The 20,931-nt window shown below is 35.3% G+C and overlaps 1 protein-coding gene across 11 annotated transcripts in view; it reads right to left on the bottom strand.

Moving 5' to 3' along the window:
- ARHGAP15 (Rho GTPase activating protein 15) overlaps positions 1–20,931 on the bottom strand; it is a 638,934-nt gene that overhangs the window by 507,924 nt on the left and 110,079 nt on the right. For 10 of the 11 annotated variants that reach the window (XR_007078554.1, NM_018460.4, XM_017004500.3 and 7 more), the window contains one exon: positions 9,829–9,918. Coding sequence is in view for 10 of the 11 variants with exons in the window: in NM_018460.4 (NP_060930.3) it covers positions 9,829–9,918 (90 nt within the window). In the remaining variant the exon portion in view is untranslated. Of the gene's footprint in view, positions 1–9,828; positions 9,919–13,024; positions 13,190–20,931 lie in introns of those variants that run through there. The other variant, XM_011511483.1, reaches the window with a different exon arrangement.

Raw genomic sequence — 20,931 nt, 5'->3', positions numbered from 1 at the left:
ATAATCTTCAAAGACTTGTGATCTATATAAATAGCCATTTAAAGGGTCAAGGTTTTCATTACATACCAAGGAGACTTTCTACGATTATTGGAAACTTAAAACCGTACTAAAATTACAGAGATATCCTAATTCTAATTGGTTCTTGTTAAGAATGAGTTAATACACTGATGCTTGAGAATCATCAAAATTTCTTAAATTTTAACTATTTTATTTTCAACAAAAAGTGCGATGTGAACTGAATAATATTTGTCATTTAACTTGAAAATTCATGAAGAAGGATTACGAGTTTCTGAGTCATTAACAATCCTCCCATTTTAATATAACAATTGAATAAATGGGAAGAAATTTATGAACCTCTGTACATTTTCTTTTTTGACATTCTAAATTATATTATTTCTAAAGTCAAATTCAGTGACTGATAACTTAAAAAAATTCATGCTTAGATCCAAATGAGGGATTAAAGCATCTCATGTATATTCTTATTTAAGCAAAATAGCATATCTTTAGATTCAATAAACCTTCTTAATATTTGGGTATATACTTATTTATTTGCCAACAGAAATGAATGTCGATAAAATTCATCAGTCAACAACAGCCAAGAGTAACTTCTTTAGATAAGCCATGTAAAATACACTTTCACATTCAGGACAAAAGATATCCAAGTATCTCATTTCCTCTCCCTGAATCCTCCATTCCACGACAAGACAGGGAGAAAGGACTGCCATCAGATGAATGACATGTAGGGCCAGAGGATGTCCACATTTATATTTTACCACTTAAAGCTCTTCTTTAAATACCTCCCGAGAGCACCCAGTCAAACCGAATCAGAGAAGCCAGTGTTGAAATGCCAAGTAGCCACCAGATGGCAGCAATGCTTTTATGAATAATGCAGCATTCTTTGCAGTCCATCTAAGATTTCCTATGTTAATAATAGAACAATCCTTACTTTAGTAAAAGGACAAATTTGCTCGTAATGAAGCCAGCATTTTTTTCCATATTGCTAGTTACATTTTGTGGGGTTCAATTGTTTTCTAGTATTTGCCCCCTCCAAATATTTATTTTCATATGCATTAAACATTAAATTGAGGTTGAATTTCATATTGATACTGTAGTAGAAAATGCCTGAAGCTTGAAACAAATATTTTCTTTTCTGATGGACAAATAACATCTGTGGTTGTAAATGTTCCAGTATAGCTGTCAAAAGAGAAGGGTTTCACATAATTTTCTGCCACCCCTATCAGTACATCCTACACATCAAAAGAGTATGTTCGTAACCTCCCTTTCCATGAATTGATTTCAAATCTATCGCAGATCTCAAATATCAGAAGCTTGCCTTTTACTTGATCAAGGGCATGGGAATTTTGAAAATGAAGCATTGCTTAAAATTCAACTTCAAGAAAAAAAAAAAGACCACAATCAAGGTCTTTCTAAGTTACTTGGGAAAGGAATCCTCATTATTGGTATTTCCGTTTTCAAGGTGCTTCAGCAATTTGTTAATTTTGCCACTGTAATTTTTTTAGTTTACACTTGTTCACCCAGAAAGTGAGACTGTTAGAATTTCTCCCAGTGCCGGAAATGCAATGTTAGGTAAATTGATGAGGCTGAGGTCAAGAATCTAATAGCTCTCTACTAAAAAGAAATGCATCTAAACCCTCCATGTGAACACCTCTCCCTTGGTTAAGCCATCTCATACCCATCAGTGTTATCTGAAAAGAGTTCAAACAGCTTCCTTCCTGATTTCTCCCCAACATCAACCATTTCATTTCATTGTTTCACTTAGGCCACCTCTCAACATCCTGTTTTGTTAAGATAAAAGAGCAGCCTCCTCCCCTCTTCAAATACCAAGAATCCTTAACTGCCCTGCAGTGTTTTATATCCTTTTGAATTTTTTTTCTGCTAAATGTTTAGTAGTATGTTTAACTCTTACATTGAGAGACTCTATGCATAGATGCCATAAGTGGCCTTTCCAGTTATGCATAAGTGTGGGCATTTTCCTTTCATCTTGAACTTATTTTTCTGTGCATTTCAAGCCTTTGTTTATGGATGCTTGCTTTGTTATTTTCTTATATTGCTTTAAACATTGCTCTGAGGTTTCAGCTTTGCTCACCGCTGCCCAGATTTTCCTCCTGCTCAGTGGCTTGTGGCATATAAACACTGAATACATATATATATATATGTATTTTTTCTCTTGCTTTCAGATCCAGCTTCATTACCTTATGTTTCTAAAAACTGAATAGCGTCATCTATTTATCAGCCAGTGATCCTATGCTATCCAAAAGCACTCAATTTTATTTCATCCTGTGTCATCCTTATGGACAAGCTGTAAAATGTGATACCATTTACTGGCCCCATCTATTATGTACCAGCTTTAGGGATTAAATTGTTCCTTTTTCTGGAATAGGTCTGTTTGCTATTAAAAATCATACACAGCATGAAATACACATGGCTGCTCTCTTTAAAAATAAAAGATATTGAAACAGATATGAAAAAGGATCCCTTGGCTTGAATATTGTCTTGCTAGCATCAATATATTTTCTATACTTTATAAATGAGATTAAAATAACAAGTAGAAAAACCATACACTTGTTGATTCTACCTTACTCCATAAAATTCCCCAGTGGCAGTGGTTTCTTTTGCCCAGGTTGGAGTGCATCGTGTCAAGTCTCAGGTTTGATCTCCATGTGGCTCAGTTAGTCTCATTCTGCTTATGGGAAAACAGAGAAAGTGCGTTGCAAGCCACAGGAGCCCATGGATGGCATAGAGACTACCACACTAGCTCTACCAAATCATCAAGAAACAGAATATGTTCCATGAGAGGAAGGGATTCACAATATGATGTCGGTAAATGAAGAACAGCATGGTGCATTTAGCCTGGTGTCAGACTAAAACCCAGAATTTATTCCAACTGCACAACTCATATCTTTGAGCTCACATAGCCAGCTATTCCAGAAGGCAATGTGAAGTGAGCTATCCAGTTGTCTAAGTTCATTAGATGACGTGCATCCATTCTTCTGCTGAAATGTTAGAAACAGAAGAAGCCAAGTTGACTTTTTTCTTTTGTTTTATGTTATTTTGGAATTACAAAATTTTGGTTCCCTTCACTAATTGGGGACCAAAATGTACTAATACTACTATTTTCAATCTTTACTGTCATCCGGTTGCATGCTGCTTTGATAGTTCAAAAAGAATGAATCTAGTAAGGCAGCATTATGCCCTCTAGTAATGAAACAATGAAGGTGTGCAAATGAGCATACATCCTTGATGTCTAAGGCTTTGACTAGTGAGTTTCACGGGATCACCCAGGCAACATAAAGTTCGTGTTGTTTTCCCTAACGATACACTTAGTTTATAAATCTTAATTCTAGATGTCTAGAATATATTTTTTAAAAAAGTTTTATTATTTCTTAGAAAATTAAACGTGCAAAAAGACAGTGGTTCCCAAGTCACATTATCTGAACCAATAGGCATGTTCTTCATTTGCAGAATGTACTTTCCATCCATCTTCTTGTTTCTGTTTCTCCTTTCATCAGTCAAAGCTAACATGCTCTCTTGATCTCATCTAGATTCTTACAATCAATTTTATTTCCTGTCCCCAGATTCTATCATTTGCACTCAATCTTTATATACCCCTGACATTCATATTCTTAAATCAAATCTCTAATTATAAAATTTTATGCCTCCCTCTGTGCAAAATCTGTGTGACCGCATCAACAAAAGTGAAGCTAAACATCATACAAATAATCATATCTCTTTCCCTTCAATCAGAAAAACAGTATTGTACTGATACCTCAGTAGGGGAGTAATAAGTGTCACTATTGTCCCTCTTTCACTTGGGGCATAGTTGCTACACTTGTTTCTATGTTACCTTTTGCAAGTTTCTATTAACAGCTTGGTAGGGCTTTCAAGGTGATATGCTTTTAAGTATTAATTTGAATATGTCATTGATTAATTAATTGGATATTACATTAATGCCACTAAGAATAGCACATTAAAAATAAGATTAAGGATCTATATTCTTAGTCACACAATAAAAAGATTTTCATGTTGTGTATTAAATATCAGTCTATTAAGTTCAGAAGGCAACAGAAAGACCAGAAGTAGAGCAGAAATTTTGAGTTACATTTCACAGATATTTACCTCTCTCAACCCTATTCTTCTAAAATTCATATCTGGAATTTCCCTCAAAACATTGTGAGATGATGTGGTTAGTAGATGAATAATGAAAGTCTGCTGTATTTGTATTAAAATCACTTCTTTGTAGTTGCTCTCAAACAAACATACAGGATTGCTTCATTTTAGTATTAACACAGATGGGCAGGTGAGGTGAGGACTGTCATCTCTTATTTCCTTGGTGTGACAAAGTTGGAGGAGGATCCTGCTGTGAGTTCTGCATAAAGTTACAACTGACATAGCCCAAATTGGAACACACATCCCCAGACCCATGTGTTCTCTCCACTGCACCTCCTGAATGTTGGATGAATATCTAATAGGTAGATGAAATGATTGGGGACAAGCTGTAGGGCAAAAAACAACTGTGTTAGACGTGAATGTTTCTCTTACTCTGGTCTATTTTTAATGCCGTGTCTTTTAAGATACTTTAATTCTCTAAAGTGAAACCAGCTTTACTGGAAATCTAATGCATGTATGAATGTGAAGAATCATCCTTTTGCATTTAGTCTAACTACAAGCACTGAAAAATGAAAGAAAATTGGTAAAAGCTCGGATTTATTTTAAACCACCACTTGTAACACAAGGAAATGGATAAAAGCACAATACCAGTAGTTTTCCTTTTGGCTTAAAATTATGTTTTTTTAAGATGTTATTAAATTATCTTCACATTAATAAACTTAAGTAGTACTTAAACATTTTAAGATAAGACATATTCAGATCAGAAAGATCAAATTATGTTTAAATGTAATGCATATCCATGGAGAATATTACATAAAAAAGTTTAATATACATTGTAGTCAGAAGACTCCATCCAAAGTCAGAGAAGTAATATAAATAATAAATCTATTCCGAGGTTTACTTTTAGGGACAGAATCTGTCCCCCGAGATCTATTTTTTAATATATTGAAAAAGAATCTTGAAAAATAATCTCAAATCCAGGAAATGTGACCATGATATTTGTTGAGGTTACAAATTGGTGGTGGCGGGGGGAGGATAACAGACTTTCCTCTTCTTTAGTCATTTAATTTTTTCTGCCTTTCAAGCAGCAAACAGGTAATTGACATATTCCTAATCAGCCATGATTTATTAATTGGCAGAAATATCCTACTGAAAGCATGAAATCTATAGAAGAGCCCAATGTATGTTTTTAAAAACTTTATTTTAAAGGAAGCTCAGGAAAACTGAGGCCAGTCACTGTCTGGCTCTAAGAAAAGGTAAATTTTTAGAGTAAAAATGATTTAATTATCTTAAATAAATAATGCTGTCTTATAACCTGTAATGAAAAAGACCCAGGAAACAGTTATCTTCTTCATCTTTACTTCCTATTTTACACCCTGGAAATTTTGGAGTACAGGGCCTATATTGTGGATACAAATAACTTTTTTTTTTTTAATAGGAGTGAATTTGTTTTGTTTTATTAAAGGAATGCAACTGTACCCTTAGCAGTAACAATTATTCAGCTAAAAAGTGTTCAGTCTTCTGGCTTAATAAGTAGAAGACAGTATGGGATATAGTTTCTATGTATTTTCTTTGGGGAGACAAGACTAATTTGCATGACAGAATATTTAAGTAAAGGATATTTAAGTACTAAATTTAATGACACGGAAATAATTATAGTGCTCTGAGACTCTCACATATTTAATAAGGGGGTATCTCCTTGGACATTGGGGAATTTTTTAGAGATACATCAGTTGTCTATTTGATAGCCATGTCACGAACTTCCTTTCCCTAGGCTTTCCAAAATATTTAACTCAGAAAGGTTTGTGTTCAAAGGAAAAGACAAAACCTAACTGAAAAATTTCCTTCAACTTAGAAACAAGATATAAGAGTTTTTTTTTTTTTTAAACAAACTTGTTCTAAATTATTTTGCAGCCATTTTCTCAGTTGAACTTCTTATTGAAAGACTGTAACTGCCTAACATGCCCAGCCAGGAAACAGAAGGTGACAGTAGCCCCGCTTGTGTGAGGGAGGCTGCCTGACAATGCTGCCATCCTTTCACATGGTTTTATTTAGTTATTACAACTATCTCTCTGTAAATGACATTTAGGATTATTTAAGATTATGTTGTAATCCTTTTAATCCTTAGTGCTTTAAATTTCAGGCTAAACACCAAAGAGCAAACTAGCACTTAGCAGGAATGTTTAAAACATGTGGTTTGAACATAAATCTTTTTATTCACTCTATCCCTGATGAAGACCTAGTGTTGCTGTTAACTAAGAAAACGCGTACCCAGCTCGTTATAGCTGAGTTGCTAAAGGTTTCTCGAACTACATCAAACTTGTGACAGTCCTTGACAATGAACATAAATGCAGAATTAAACAAAAGTTAGCAGCAATGGACATTTACCACTTTAACTTAGAATTTGTATGATCTTTTATAAATGTGTACTATCTTTCTGTGTTTGTGTGTGGAAGTGCTTACTCTATTTCCTAAGGTCAAGCTATTAGGTGTGTATACACACAGGTAGAGTATATATACATATGTATATTTGCATATATATTTTATGTATATAAGTATATATATTTTATACATGTATATTCATGTATATATTTTAATATAAATTATAACATCTAATACATACTTTATTATAGAATTCTTTTATTATTTATTGTTAAGAAGTACCAATTAGGCCAAAGAGTGTGCTGTTATAAAATATGCAGATATTCTTAAACTTAGCAAGTATCATTCTGATTTACTGAAAGTTGTTGAATACCAAAACTTAATAATTAATGTTGTCATTGTTATGTTTCCACATAGCAATCAAATAAGATTCAGTCCATGTCAACAGTTTGATAGGATTTCAACTAGGAAGGAAAATTTGGATTTCAGTACAAAGAGAAAACAACTCAAACATCCAAACAGCATATATGAACAAATGAAATAAATGAAATCTGTCCATTTTTGGTTGTCACAAATGTGTGCTTCTGAGACTTGCAACATTTCTCAGGCACATACAATTTTTTGTTTGTTTTCCTATTCATTTTAAGTTCAACTTCTCTGCAGACATTGTAATTACATGGCATACAATTGCTAATCCATCAAACTTTTTAAAGACAGATTTCAAATTTTAAAATATTTCTAATTTTGCTCTTCTTTGATTTTCCTTGAACCAAAAATCTCAATAGTCATTTGCTATCTGTAATCTATAATTCATAGACTGAGATTGAACACCAAGCCTAATTCAAACTTGGAATTCTAAAGCTATTTCCAATGTAGCACATCAGCTGAAGCTATGATGGTCTTTTTCAGTCAGGAAGAAACACTTCATTATTCTGCAGGTAATGAAACCATTGCACACATACACTCCAACGTCCAACAATGCCTTAATACCATGTTTTTAAGACATAATCATGTTTATTCTGATCATTTGAGAGTTCGACCAGCTAATGTATCTAATCAAATATTGATGCAAGTCATCTAGATTTAGCTCTCTGGCAAATCCTTCCCGACGCTTTTTTGTTAACAGAACTATAGAAGCTATTTATATTGTTCCTCTCAAAAGGCTTACTCTCATAGTCTGTATCTATGGATATGTATTAGTCAGTTTTACCAAAACTCATGCATTTAGGTGATGAAAAGATTTCAGCACGACAAGGAAACCAAGGGATTCACTCAAAAAGAATGAAACAGAACATGAAACTTGAATCTTTTCTTTTGGTTTGTTATTCACAATATCCTTATGATCACCTCTTGTTTCTCTAAAAGTACAAGACTAAAAAAAAATAAAGCGTCTGTAAGAAGACTGAGGCCCCATGAACTGTTCAATTACATTACAAACAAAACTAGCTGGCAAAATTTTCACCTTCAGAAAGCTACCAAAAGTGAGAATAGTTTTTAATATCTTTGGAAGGATCTACATTCAAAAATATAAAAATCAAATAGAAAATTGCAACAGGAGGTGATTAGTCATATCCTGAAAAGATTGGGATGATACACACTGTCAATATAGGTGGCTGAAATGTCTATCTGTGCATATAATGTTCATAGTTATATAAAAATATACATAATTTTTTCATCAATATTTTCAGCCCTGTATGCATCAAATATAGCTGACTGTCATCCTCATTTGTGAACTAATTTAACTCTTCATAAGATTAACAGAAGAAACTGAAAAAGGCTGGCTTAGCCCATCTCCAAAGAATTGCTATTGTCCAAGAATAATGTCTATGACAAATTTCAACATCTTTTACAATTTTGGTGATTAGGATGCTAAATTCACAGTACATAATAAGGCTCTACCACTGAGCTTTCCCGGTCTACTTCAGAGCTTCTTATGTTGATCATCTAAGTTGTCATAAGGCTAGAATTATAACCTCTAAACTGTTATTTATGGTAGAATAATAAGAGTAAGAAATTGGGGGAAAGGGGAAGTCACTGATCTATAGTTCCTCCCTTTGAAAGAAAGTTTATTTCTCCTTCTTGATTCTGTAAAGCCACATTTTAGTCACTTTCAGCTTTAGAGCATTGATTTCAGGACAAGCGTGTTTGGTTTTCTTCTATCTTTTCTCTCTCCCTTTTATTTCCTTCCTTCCTTTTTAAATTTTATTTTTAATTGACAAATAATAATTGCATATATTCTCTCACTTTCTTGTTTGATAAAAAATCTCTATACCTAAGCAAAATAAAACTAGAACCAGAAAAGTAATTTATTCTAGAATGTGTTAAAATATTTTATGGACCCAAATTATTTGGATATACCTGAATAGCATCTGGAAAATACAAACCGAACTGGAAACCAGCTTCTTCCCCTCAGTGAGAGTGTCGGTAGAAAATGTCACCTACCTATGCTTCCATAGGACCCAATATTAATTTCAGCAAAGCATTTAAGAGTAGAAGAATTGACTTTTATTCAAGGGCCAACATGCTCTCAGAAGACATTTAATTTAAAAAATAATTATTATACTCTATCTCTCTTCTACTAAATTATATAAATTCTAAAATATATCTAATTACTGGTTACTTTGGAAATATAAAATTAAATTTCATATAAAATAGAACAAAAATCAAACTCCAAGATCTCAAATTATTAATTACCAGATAAATCACGCAATTAGGTGATTTTGGTAACGTGTGAAATTACATTTTCCAATTTTATCTCTCTCAAGGATTTCATCTGGTTCTTGCCATTCAATCGAATATGATTGCAATTATTAATCAACTTTTTTTTTCAAAAAACTAAAGTAAGCAATATGAAAGAATCTATTTTTTATAGCTGTTCAGCCCTCTCCATTCTTGTAAGTTATACTGGTAAATGTAATTAATGACTAGAAGGCAAGAGTGTCAATGAATGTAAATAGCTTATACTTGGTGAGTCTTAGTTTGTGTGCATCTGAAAATTCTAGATCAAATCTACTTAAGTCAAACATCCCATGTTTGAACTCCAGACATCTATCGCATATACTGCAAACTTCAATGACTTTTGTGTGTTTATATTAATCAACGTGCAACATACATTTTGTGTTTAGATAGCAACCAGTCGCCAGAAAAAAAGCAACAAAACCAAAGATTCAACTGGGAAGAGGAGTCGCCTTTCATGACCTTCAGACAACGAGTTCATGTACATGAGCACATCACAAGAAGGTAGTCTTATTTTAGTTACCCAAGAGAGCTCAGATTTAGAGAGAATAGGAATAAATTGAATATATGTAACATTCTTACCTGAAAGACATTCTTTCTGCTCGATTTTTCCTTGGCCCATTCAATGTGTGCTCCACACAAATCCACACTTTCTGGTTTGTGCCCAGTTTTCTGTAATCACAAAAATGAAGTAAGAATAAGAGGATGCAACACTGTAGATAGATGTCAGAGAAATAGGAGTTTATTGAGTTAGCAGCTATACATATTTATGATATAATGCCTTTTTTGTTTTCCCCAGGGGAAACCTAATTTGTAGGAATTTTCATTTGGGACCTAATTTTTTTCAATGTCTAAAATTACAGACTTATTTTTAAAATTATTTAATTAACTATAAACCATAGGAAAAATTAATATCTAGAATACTGATATTTTGAGATGGTATTCTTTAGTAATTTAAGAATAATGAAAGTTTTAAAATCTGCTATTTAGTAATATGGAATATTGCTCTTCAATGTCTAAAGTAACATAAAAGCATGTTAAGTTATATTACTTTTAGACCTAACAGTAAAAGAAAAAATTGATAAATCATAGTGCAATGCAAAAAACTGTTACAGAGTTTTAGTTTTGCGACTATAGTAGAGTTGCTTAGAATCTGACTACATCATCTAGAAAATTGAGCAGGTGGATTAATCTCCAATTCCCCTTTCAGGTTTGTGTTTCACATGTTAGCAAATTCAATACATATTTATTAAGTGTCAACTATGCCTTTTAGAAATTCACTTTTCAGACTTTAAGACTATACACACAAATATAATTTCATTTGGTAAATTTAACTTAGACCAAAAGGATTAAAATGTGTGCTTCCTATTACACAATTACAATGTGGGTATTACTTAAAAGATGTTTTTTATTTCAATAATTCACAATAATCAATAGGAATATCACCCACATTTGTCTTTTCATATTTTCACTTGATTCAAGTTAATCATACTTATACAACTTTACATTGGCATACCTCCATACCGCCAATTATTTTTTAAAAAGTTTACCAGTTGAGAATTTCTTTACTATTTTTTCAAGAAGTTTCTCCACAGATAAATTTTCTAGGTTTCTCTGTAGATTCCATACTTTTCTCAAGTCATTGTCCATAAAATACTTCAGAATTTTAGTATATGAAGCTTATTATATTTTTAGCCAATGTTTTTAACATTATGAACATTAGGATAAAACATGAAATTATGAAAGAATGGTAAATATGTTTTAAAAACATATTCTGTCCATGTTTGTTGCCTCTTAGCCATTATATCCAATTCTATAAGTTCAACATAAATAGGCTTTTTCAGAAGCCAGAAATTTGTTTTTTTATGGTAAATTATGAGACTTTTTTCTGGCAACTGAATTTTTTTTTGAAACATTGTATAACTTTCCTACAGGATAAACCCAGCCGGCAGGATAGAATTTGATAGCATATCTACCTTTTTTGTTGTTGTTATTTAGTAACCTCAGGAGAAACCCATCAAAATGAGCCATGCTCCTTAAAGAGATTTTGATCAGTGAAAAGTTTTTATTGTTTCACCCACGCTCTGCCACCCAGGTGATCACTATTTTAGATTTCAAAGCATGATAATGATAGTCTTTGTCAAGTGATTTATGATGTAGAAAAATTAACAACAACATGCTTCTTATAGATTTAATTACATTAGGGGATACTCAGAACCAACGAAAATAATCATTAAGAGTACGTAACAAAATGGCTTATTTTTCCCATACAGTCAAGTCAGGGGGTTAAAAAGGTATAATTATTTTAAGAAGCACTTTTTATGTTCCAGGTACTTACCTACGTACAACAATTATTGATAATTCGTTTAGTGTATAACCTCTGTATCATAGAGAGTTTGTGGGCAATTATACAGAAGTCTAAGGCTAAAATGAGGAAGATTCCGTATTTTCCTTGCCTCTGGAGTTCTAGGGCCCAGCACTGTGGCTAACACATGGACACAAAATAAGTGTGCAATAAATATTAACCAAATGATTCTGTGAAATCTTACATTCACAACTGTATGAGGTAGGTATTATCATCACTAAGTTGTAGGTAAGAAAACCTGCCAGAATAGTTAGGTAAATTTCCTCAAGGTTACCCAGCTAGAAAAGGAGGGGCCAGGATTTAGATCCAAGCAGTGTCACTGCAGAGACTGTTCTTAACCATGATGCAGCCCTTAAAAATTGAATAGACACTGTGATCATATGCTAAAAACATGTAAGAATTTGGGAAAAGCTATGGCTTTCTCACTAGACTCCAGAATAGACATATTCATCTTGTTTTTGTCCTTCTCTGTTAAACGTGATCTTGCCGTAGGTCCTTTACACCACCTGTTTACCTGGAATACCTCCCAATCTTCACACGGCTGGCTCCTTCTTATCCTTCAGTTCCCAGTTAAATGTCACCTTGTCAGAGGTCTTCTTTGACTGTCTTTTATATAAAAGAGCTGTACTCCAGTACTCCTGGTTACTCTCCATCCCACTACTTGTTTTAATTTCACTGCAGCCCTCCTCCTAACTGAAATTAACATATATATTTTTATATGCTGACTGTCTGTGTTTCCCCCACTAGAATTAAGCTCCCTGAGCTAGGGCCTTGTTTGCCTTTTCCTCTACTGTTTTTCCCAATGTATGGAACAGTGCCTGGCACATAGTTGTTGTTCAATGAATATTTGCTGAATTCATGAATGAAGGAAAAATACCAAAATGCAACTAGCTTTTGTGCTTTGGAAGGAAGACTTTAGTGTCTTAAAATTCCCAATTTTATAGCAATTAAGATTTGTATTTTTTTTAAATGGTTAAGCAGTCTTTGTGATTTGGAAAAGTGAGAAACAGTTCAAAGGACTCATATTTGGATTAAATGTGAGATTACACAAAGTCACTCAATTAACATTTATTGCACACCTACTATGTGTCAATGTGTTACCCACTGTGCTGGGCTCCCTGAACTCCAGGGATAAGGGAGATACTGACTCTTCCTTGAAAAATCTCATATTAGCTTTAGATTTCTGTATAATTACCTACAAACTCCATATGCTATAGAGCTAAAGGAAACCTGTGGGTAAAACAGTCTAAGCTTTTACAGTTTTCTCATCATCTAGCTTTGTCAATCTCAAAATGTTCTCATCAGCATCTGTTGTGCTGAATCCTTATTAACCCAATAGGGCTGAGGTTCAAGAGGCCAAAGACGAGACCCAGAGCCAGCAAACAAGATATGGGATTTTAAGGGTTTACATACCGGGGAAAGAGGCCAGTGGTGCCAGGCTGGACAGGAGAAACACCTCACGTACAAGAATGCACCAGCAGCAGCGGGCTCCACAGCCCAGTGGCGGAGGGCTGGGCAGGAAAACCACAACCTCTTGCTACCAGCATGCAGTTTATATAGCATTTTCACTTAAAGCCCTCCCCTTAAGGACCTCCACCTGGCAACCTTCATCCAACCCAAAACTCAAAGCCTCATTCCCCTGTGCAGCCTGTGATCCACGAGACTGGATGAGGGCTCAGGTGTTCCTCACGGACAAGGAACGAATCTCCAGGTTAGCTGTTCCTGGATTCCCTAGCTTGAAACACACATTCAGGTGTGTCTGCCATAGAGGGTCATTCCAAAGAGATTGTTAAGCTATTGCTATCAGGTGTGTTTACCCTACAGCCTCCTAAGGCAAATTCCACAGTACCTGGCACGGGTTTATCACAATCCAAACCCTGTCTGTGGCCATCCTCTCCAGGACCTTGCCCGTCTCTTGCACTCCTTACAATCTCACTCCTTCACCTTGTCTCCACTTCAGTGATTTTCATTCTGCTGCTCATCTGACAGATTCCATTTCTGGAGATTTTCTTATCCGTGTGTTTCTGATGCTATTAAAATCATTGACCTTTGTGCAATCTCCCAGTCTCTGAATTCCTTCCTGGCTTCACTTCCTTTCAGGTCCTATATTCCTGATTCCACAGTCACTTCAACCACCCCCTCCACCTGCCCTCTCCTCCAAGGATATCGCTCTCATCTGCTTGCCCCTCCATAATATTCCTCATATCCCCGAATACTGGAGAAATAACTTTTGACTACTTAGGGTAGCAATATTACAAATAATGTCTACCTTCTTCAGCTGGGCCTTTGACTCTGCTTAAGATACTTTGTATGTGTTCCTAGTCACTTTCTCTTCTTCCTCTTGCCACTGCTCTCTGAAAGCTTCAACCCTTATGAGTCCACCCCACGAAATGGTTTGTTCTGACTTCATGGAGATCACAGCCCTTGTGCTGGAACAGTCACAACTCTTCCCACTTTCATACTTAGTCTGTGTAATCCAAATAAACAAATGAATATAAAGTTTAATGATAGCTTCCTCTATTGCACTCTGAAAGCTTAATATTGATTTCTCATTTACTTCTTACAACAATCTTTTGAAAATATTACCATTGCTTTCAACTTATACATGAAGAAACCCAAGCAGAGAGCGGCCAAGTGCTTGACATAAGGTCATGTACTTAGAAAGTGCCTGAGCTGATACGAATTTACTTTTATCGGATTCCAAGTTTAAAGTTCTTGATCACAATGGAATCCATGGCCTCCCCTCCACACTCATTTTTTCCTCCTACTAGTTCACCTAAAAATGGCTTTTTCAGGTCCAAGAATAATAATTCACATTTTCCATTTTTTTCCTGTGTCATTTCCCACTTTGTCTTCCAGCCCCAAAATTCTGGGGCTGTGACTGGCCCATCTGTCTAATAAACTCCCATGCCTTGGCAGGACAGTGGCCTCTGTGAGTGTCAAAATTACCTGACCTGTCAGTACCATAAAGCACAAAAAGGACTCACAAGGCATGTCCTGCTTTGCCTCAGAGGAAGAGATACTCCTTCTGCCCAAGGCTTATTTATCTCTAGTTCCTAATTTCATCCAGTCTTGTCCCTCATTTCCTGAGTTGTCCAAGAATAAGAATTTCACATTTCGTTCTACTTTCTCCCCCTCAAATAGATTGTGTCCTTCAGCCTCTAACCATGTTCATTACCCGTTTAAAAAAAAAAAAGAAGAAGAAGAAAAGCAAGCATCAACTCCACACCCTCACTTTTTCTCAATCTCACTTATTTCCTTTCCGTTATTGCCAGATTTGTCCTTCTCCTCAATTCATGTTCTCTGTTTGCTCAGACTCCATTCTCTTCTTCAACACTGCAGTCTGATATTTACTTCCTTCTTTGACTTTTCTAAAATGTCTTAACCATTAAGGTCAACAAAAACAATCTGATGCCTTGTTCCCCATCTGCATCTGACTTGAACTCTGCACTGTTAGATTCTGTTGGCCCTTCTCCTTAGAGCCCTCTTGTTTCTTGGCCATGGAAGCATTTCACCTTTTATACTCTTCCCTTTCAGTTTCTTCCACTGAGTCCTCTTCCTCTTCCCACTTTCTAAATGTTAGTAACCCCAGGTTTAGCGTTCTAGGCCCTCATCATTTCTCCTCACTCATGTGATTCCTATGGGTTTTGGTCTTGCCCCTAGTCTTGTCCCATTACCTGCCATATGTTGACCCCTCAATGGGTGCCTCTGGCCTCCAGCTCCCTCTGATGTGTCAGAATTATATTTTCTACATTACCATGAGAGTGTAGCACAGTCACCTCAGTGAAATCATTATCTTCTTCTCCTACCTGCCTCCTTTTCTCTATTGCTTGTCTTGCTTAATAATCCCTTCACTCACTTCACCTGAAAGTTTCTTAACTCCCTCCTTTCTTTCACCATCCATAATCAAAAGGCACAAAGTCTCGAATTCTGGAATTAGTTCCTTTTTCTCCATCTCATGACCTTAACCTCAGTAGAGTTCTTATTTTCTCTCACAAGAATTCTTCTACCTCTTGCCTCTGTGGCCAGTCAAAAACCCTTGCAATTCATTCTCTGTATTTTGACCTTTTTTCGTTCAATGTGAGACACAAACCTCACATTGTTTATTATGGAAAATTTATCTACGGGATAGTGTCCAAATCCCTTGGTAAGGTATACGAGCTCCTTTCTGTCCTCCTCCAACCATCCCTCTCGGTTCTATGCGTTCTCCCATTCTTCACACCAGCTACGCTACATCCGTGGCAGTTTCCAAAATGCAATGTGTTTTCACAACGCCAGACATTTGGGATTTGAGTATGCATTCATTCTTTTCATCTGAAATACATTTATCTCTCTCTTCAATCTACCCTGCTTGCCTACCATCTGCCGTAATCTTGCTCATTTTCAAGACACAACTTAAAAAAATAAAAATATCCATGGGGAGAATTTTCCCTCTGCAGGTAGTCACTCACTCCTTCCACCATTTCCCCTACTTTGAAACATACTGTGTTACAACTCTTGTTAGTCACACATTGCTACTCCTTTTTGGTGTGTTTTTTTTCCCCTAGCTATCCAGTAAGAGAATGGGTTTGACTTATGGTTCTTTATTTTTCCAGAATCTAGCAAAGTGGCCCCAAATAAGTGTTCAACAGTTATTTGTGAACTATTGAAATAATTGAGGAACTGGATAGAGAATGACAATGAAAAATATCTGGATTGATTCCAATGCATTAACAAATAAAAATAAATAATACATCTCAGAATGACAGTTCACAAAGTGAGAAGTACATATGGAATAATATTTCCATTTTATACCAACTTTAAGTAAGAACTGATCATATGGTATAATCAAAGCTAATAGAGATTTGGGGTGAATTCAAAAGTATGACAGATAAAAAAACAAAGTTCTTAAGTAATAATAAATATATTCGCTTTAAAAAGAGAAAACTAGAATAAGTAGCTGGAGGATTGTGTAAAAATGGTCCTAATAAGTAGTTCATTTTCACAAAGCTACAGCAGAAAGACCTATGCCTGAAGAGCAGTTTTAGGGAATCGAGATTATTAGAAGAAATTCTCAGTGTTTAAATGTTAAACATTTAAACTACTTATTGGAATAAGTAGTTCAGAAAAGTTGTAGAATTTATTCGGAAGACAATCAAGATTTTATTCAAGAAGCCTGAAATTAAAGAATCCTTTAATAGAAAACATATTTCCGATTCTACAGCTATAAAACACAAGAAAAAGTCTGCTAATGAACAGCATGATGCCAATGGATCATATTCTACATCATTATAAAAATACACTTTTTAAAAAATGACTAAATATGAATTTAAATCTAAGAATGTACACACCATATTTCTTCTGGGGTAAACTTAAAATAGAAATGACTGATTTTTAAAATACTTAAATAGAATTATTTAAGAGTTACTGCTTTTGGACAATAAAACATAAAAGCCTCTTTTTTAGAGGAATGTGAAGTCATTAAAAATTGACCCTAGGTCTCTTGCACTTCTGATTTTTATTATTCTCTTCGTCTATCTTCACCATTTCCCAATAATAGCTAAGAGTATTTTCTCTGTAATACTTTTTTCTCTGACTTAGATTAAACCTGTGGGATTAAGTTTCCCATTTTTCTTTATGGGATATTTGGGGTCCATAGTCTTTTAATGTATATTAAGAAAATATCAAAGGCCAGATGCTCTTTAGCTTGATGATAGCTTCCATGATGAAGATTGGGCATATACGCAGGCCACAAATCATTTGGCCGCACAGCCTCTTACCCTTATTACTAGATGTGGTTCAAAAAGAGAGACAAAGCTCGGATTTTATGAAATAGGTTATTAGCGCCATTTTTTATTTTGGATTAATTGCTATTCCAGAATATAGACTCAGATTGTCCTTATCATTTTGAAACTCGAAACACAAAATCTGTTTAGAGGAATTAAGTTTTATCACATAACTGGTTTTGATTCTGGAAAATCGTTCATGGAGGAGGATAAAACTCATTTATATATTCTCATTTGGGCAAAATGATTTAGGAAAGAGGGCTGAATGGATACCTGATCTTATTAATGTCTAAAGTATGGCCCCTGTCAACATAAAAGAGGATACTTTGATTATAAGATGTGGGTTTTATGTATATGAATATAAATGATGTTAATAATAACAGAAATTGTTTCTACAGTGAAATTTCTCAGTATATTACATGACCAAATCAAACCACATTTTCAGAAAAATAAACCTTTGTTAGTGATTGTGGGCACTAGAATGTTATGTGCTTTTTGTTTGTTTTTGAGGAGAAAGTATTCTACACTTTTCAAGAAATGAGCACCTATTGTATTTGTTTCTGAATCAAAATCTTGCTGGAATAAATATAATGATTATATTTCTCAACTGATATAGTCTTACATTTACATTAAAAAGGCAATTTATTTCTGCAAGGTGAATAGCTTGGGTACACTTTTGATGTCTCAGGTGCCTCCTCAGAGTTTCCTCTTAGACTGTCATCCACTCAGTCAACCTCAGCTGTCCCTGCAGATGACCAGCCCTGCCTGGGCAATGCAGTCCACCTCTTGAGAATGACCAGCCACCTTCTTGGAATACCAGACTTTCCCCCTAGGCTGCCAGACTATAGAAGGGCCTTTGGCTCCTTCCACCACTTCCTACTTTAGATGAAATGCCACTTTGCAGGAGTGGGACCTGGCTTTCTGAGTAGCCTCCCATGGCTGAGGCAGGTCCGACTGAAGCAGGCAAGTGAAGACTCTGGGTGGTGAACTTTAATCAAAAGTGCAGGAAATGGGAAAAGTGCAGGAAATGGGAAGAAATATGGGAGATAAATTCCTTTTCCTTCTTCTGCTCCCTTCCTCCCACAGATTGCTTTAAGCTTTCACCAGCGTACTTGCAGACCCTTTTCTCTCCGTCTCTTTGAAGCTCATTGTAGTGGGGAGCCAACATGGTAACATCCCTGTACCACTGCCCATCACTTCTGGCCTGACTTCCTTTTCACTTCACTCTCTTGTCCTGGATTTGTACCTCCCAGATAAAGTCAGGCTCTTAATTCAGGCTTTGTATTCCAGAAAACCAGGATTGAGACCACTGATGCTGCTCTCGCTGTGGCAGAGGTGAATCGTTCTCCACCAAAATGTGTGTTGTGCTCCCTCTTCAAGTGCCTTGTGTTGTCATTGGGAAGCAGCTTGCCAGCTGAAGACTTTATTCCCAGCCCCATTTGCATCAGAATGTGGCCAATTATTTATACTTACCACTGGAATGTGAGCGAAAAGACTTCTAGGCACATGCAGATCTTTCCCACATTCTCCCTTTACCCTTCCCTCATCTGCCACTACTCCTAACCACTATACTCTATTGCTTCATGTAGTAATAACGACAACGATAAATACAATTAAGATTTATTATGTTTGCTCTGTGTGAGGCACATTGCATCAATTTTCTCACATATAGTTCTACGAGATAGTCACCCTTGTTAATGTCATATTGCAGTTGAGATAGCCAATAAATATGTGAAAATAAATTTATCATTAATATTTGAAAATAAACTAGAGCAGCAAGTAAAATATGAACCTAGGATTCCTAACCCAGGTGATCTGACTTGAAAGCCCCTGTTTCTACCTAATGTGATACTGCTTCTCAGAGCATTTCAATTTAGTAGTGAATTTTTAAGAAAGACTATACATATACTCTATAAATTAAAAAATACACTGTGGGGTAAAAGCTCATTTTATCTTAGAGAAATGCAAGCTCCAAAACAGATGCATTTCATTGGCCAAAATGATAAACCACAGAGAGACAAGCTTCATAATTAAAACAGTTTTCTGAGAGAGCCTAAGGTGAGGTTTATTGAGGGACAGTAAGCTCTGATCCATTTGTAAAGAATCCTGTCAATTTCATGGATTTCTGTGGTTATTAAAAATTATGTAAGTTACAGAATTTATTATAGTTAATGGCCAAAGCTAGAAAAAAATATAACCAGAGAACATGGCTTCATTTATAGCAATATCGATCACTTGATTTTTTCCTTCCAAAGTTTACATTAATAAAACACTGAACTTTAATTTCCTTTTTTTCTTCTCTGTATTTCCATCTCTACCCATTATCCTCCAGATTTTGAACTGTAACTTGTTTTTCCTAATCATTAAATGTTTGATGAGGCCATATGATGGTGCAATCTACAGCTATACTAACATACTGCATCAATGATAACCATGCTGATGTGGCAAGAGTACTACTATTATGAGAATTAAATGATTAAACAGAGATTTTAAAATGCCTTCATTAGTCTAAGGCTGATAGATCTTTTGTTTGCCCCTCCATTTTTTCATGATCTTCTTAAGCAGGGGTCTGAATAAGGGCTCAATACTCACTCTACAAAGATAAAATCATTCCATATTCATTTTGCACGGAATACTCAATAATTCATGAATAGCTTTCTGATTGAAACTATTTTCATCTTTTTGCTAAATCACATCATTTTCCTTCCATAAATAAGTTCATTTTGTTGTTAAAGTCATACTACAGTGAATGAGCATTAGATATATTGCATTATTTAATTAATGTGTGTGTTCATTACTCATATTGAAAGTAAACAATATTTTTTAAAAGTAAATTATTATTTATTTTATTTTATTTTATTTTGTTTTATTTTTTTAGAGACAGAGTCTCATTCTATTGCCTAGCCTGTAGTGCAGTGACTTAATCATAGCTCACTGCGGCCTCAAACACCTGGGTTCAAGTGATCCTCCTGCTTCGACCTCCTACGTAGCTGGACTTACAGGTGCATGACCACCATGTGTGCATGTGTGGTTTTTTTTTTTTTTTTTTTTTTTTTTTTTTTGAGACAGAGTCTCACTCTATCACCCAGGGTGGAGGGCAGTGATGGGATCTCGGCTCACTGCAACCACCACCTCCTGGGTTCAAGCAATTTTTGTGCCTCAGCCTCCTAAGTAGCTCAGGTTGCAGGTGGGCACCACCACACCCAACTAATTTTTGTATTTTTAGTAGAGATGGGGTTTCTCCATGTTGGACAGGCTAGTCTCAAACTCCTGACCTCAGGTGATCCACCTGCCTTGGGCTCCCAAAGTACTGGGATTCTAGGCATGGGCCACTGCACCCAACTAATCTTTTAAAAAAAAACTTTTGTAGAGACAGGGTCTCGATATGTGGGCCAGGCTGAAAACAAATTATTTTAATGAGGCCTTTTATGTTGCCCATTTTTGCTTTCAAGGTTATGGCTGAATGAGTGGTTTGGAAAAGTTAATAGTTCATTAAATGCCTTGGAAGAGTTTTCTGTTATTAAAAGTAAAATTTTTATAACGTCAAACTCATAG

Source organism: Homo sapiens, chromosome 2, assembly GCF_000001405.40.
Source record: "Homo sapiens chromosome 2, GRCh38.p14 Primary Assembly".
Taxonomy (NCBI): Eukaryota; Metazoa; Chordata; class Mammalia; order Primates; family Hominidae; genus Homo; species Homo sapiens.
The sequence above is the reverse complement of the archived record's forward strand: the minus strand, read 5'-3'. Positions and strand labels throughout refer to the sequence as shown.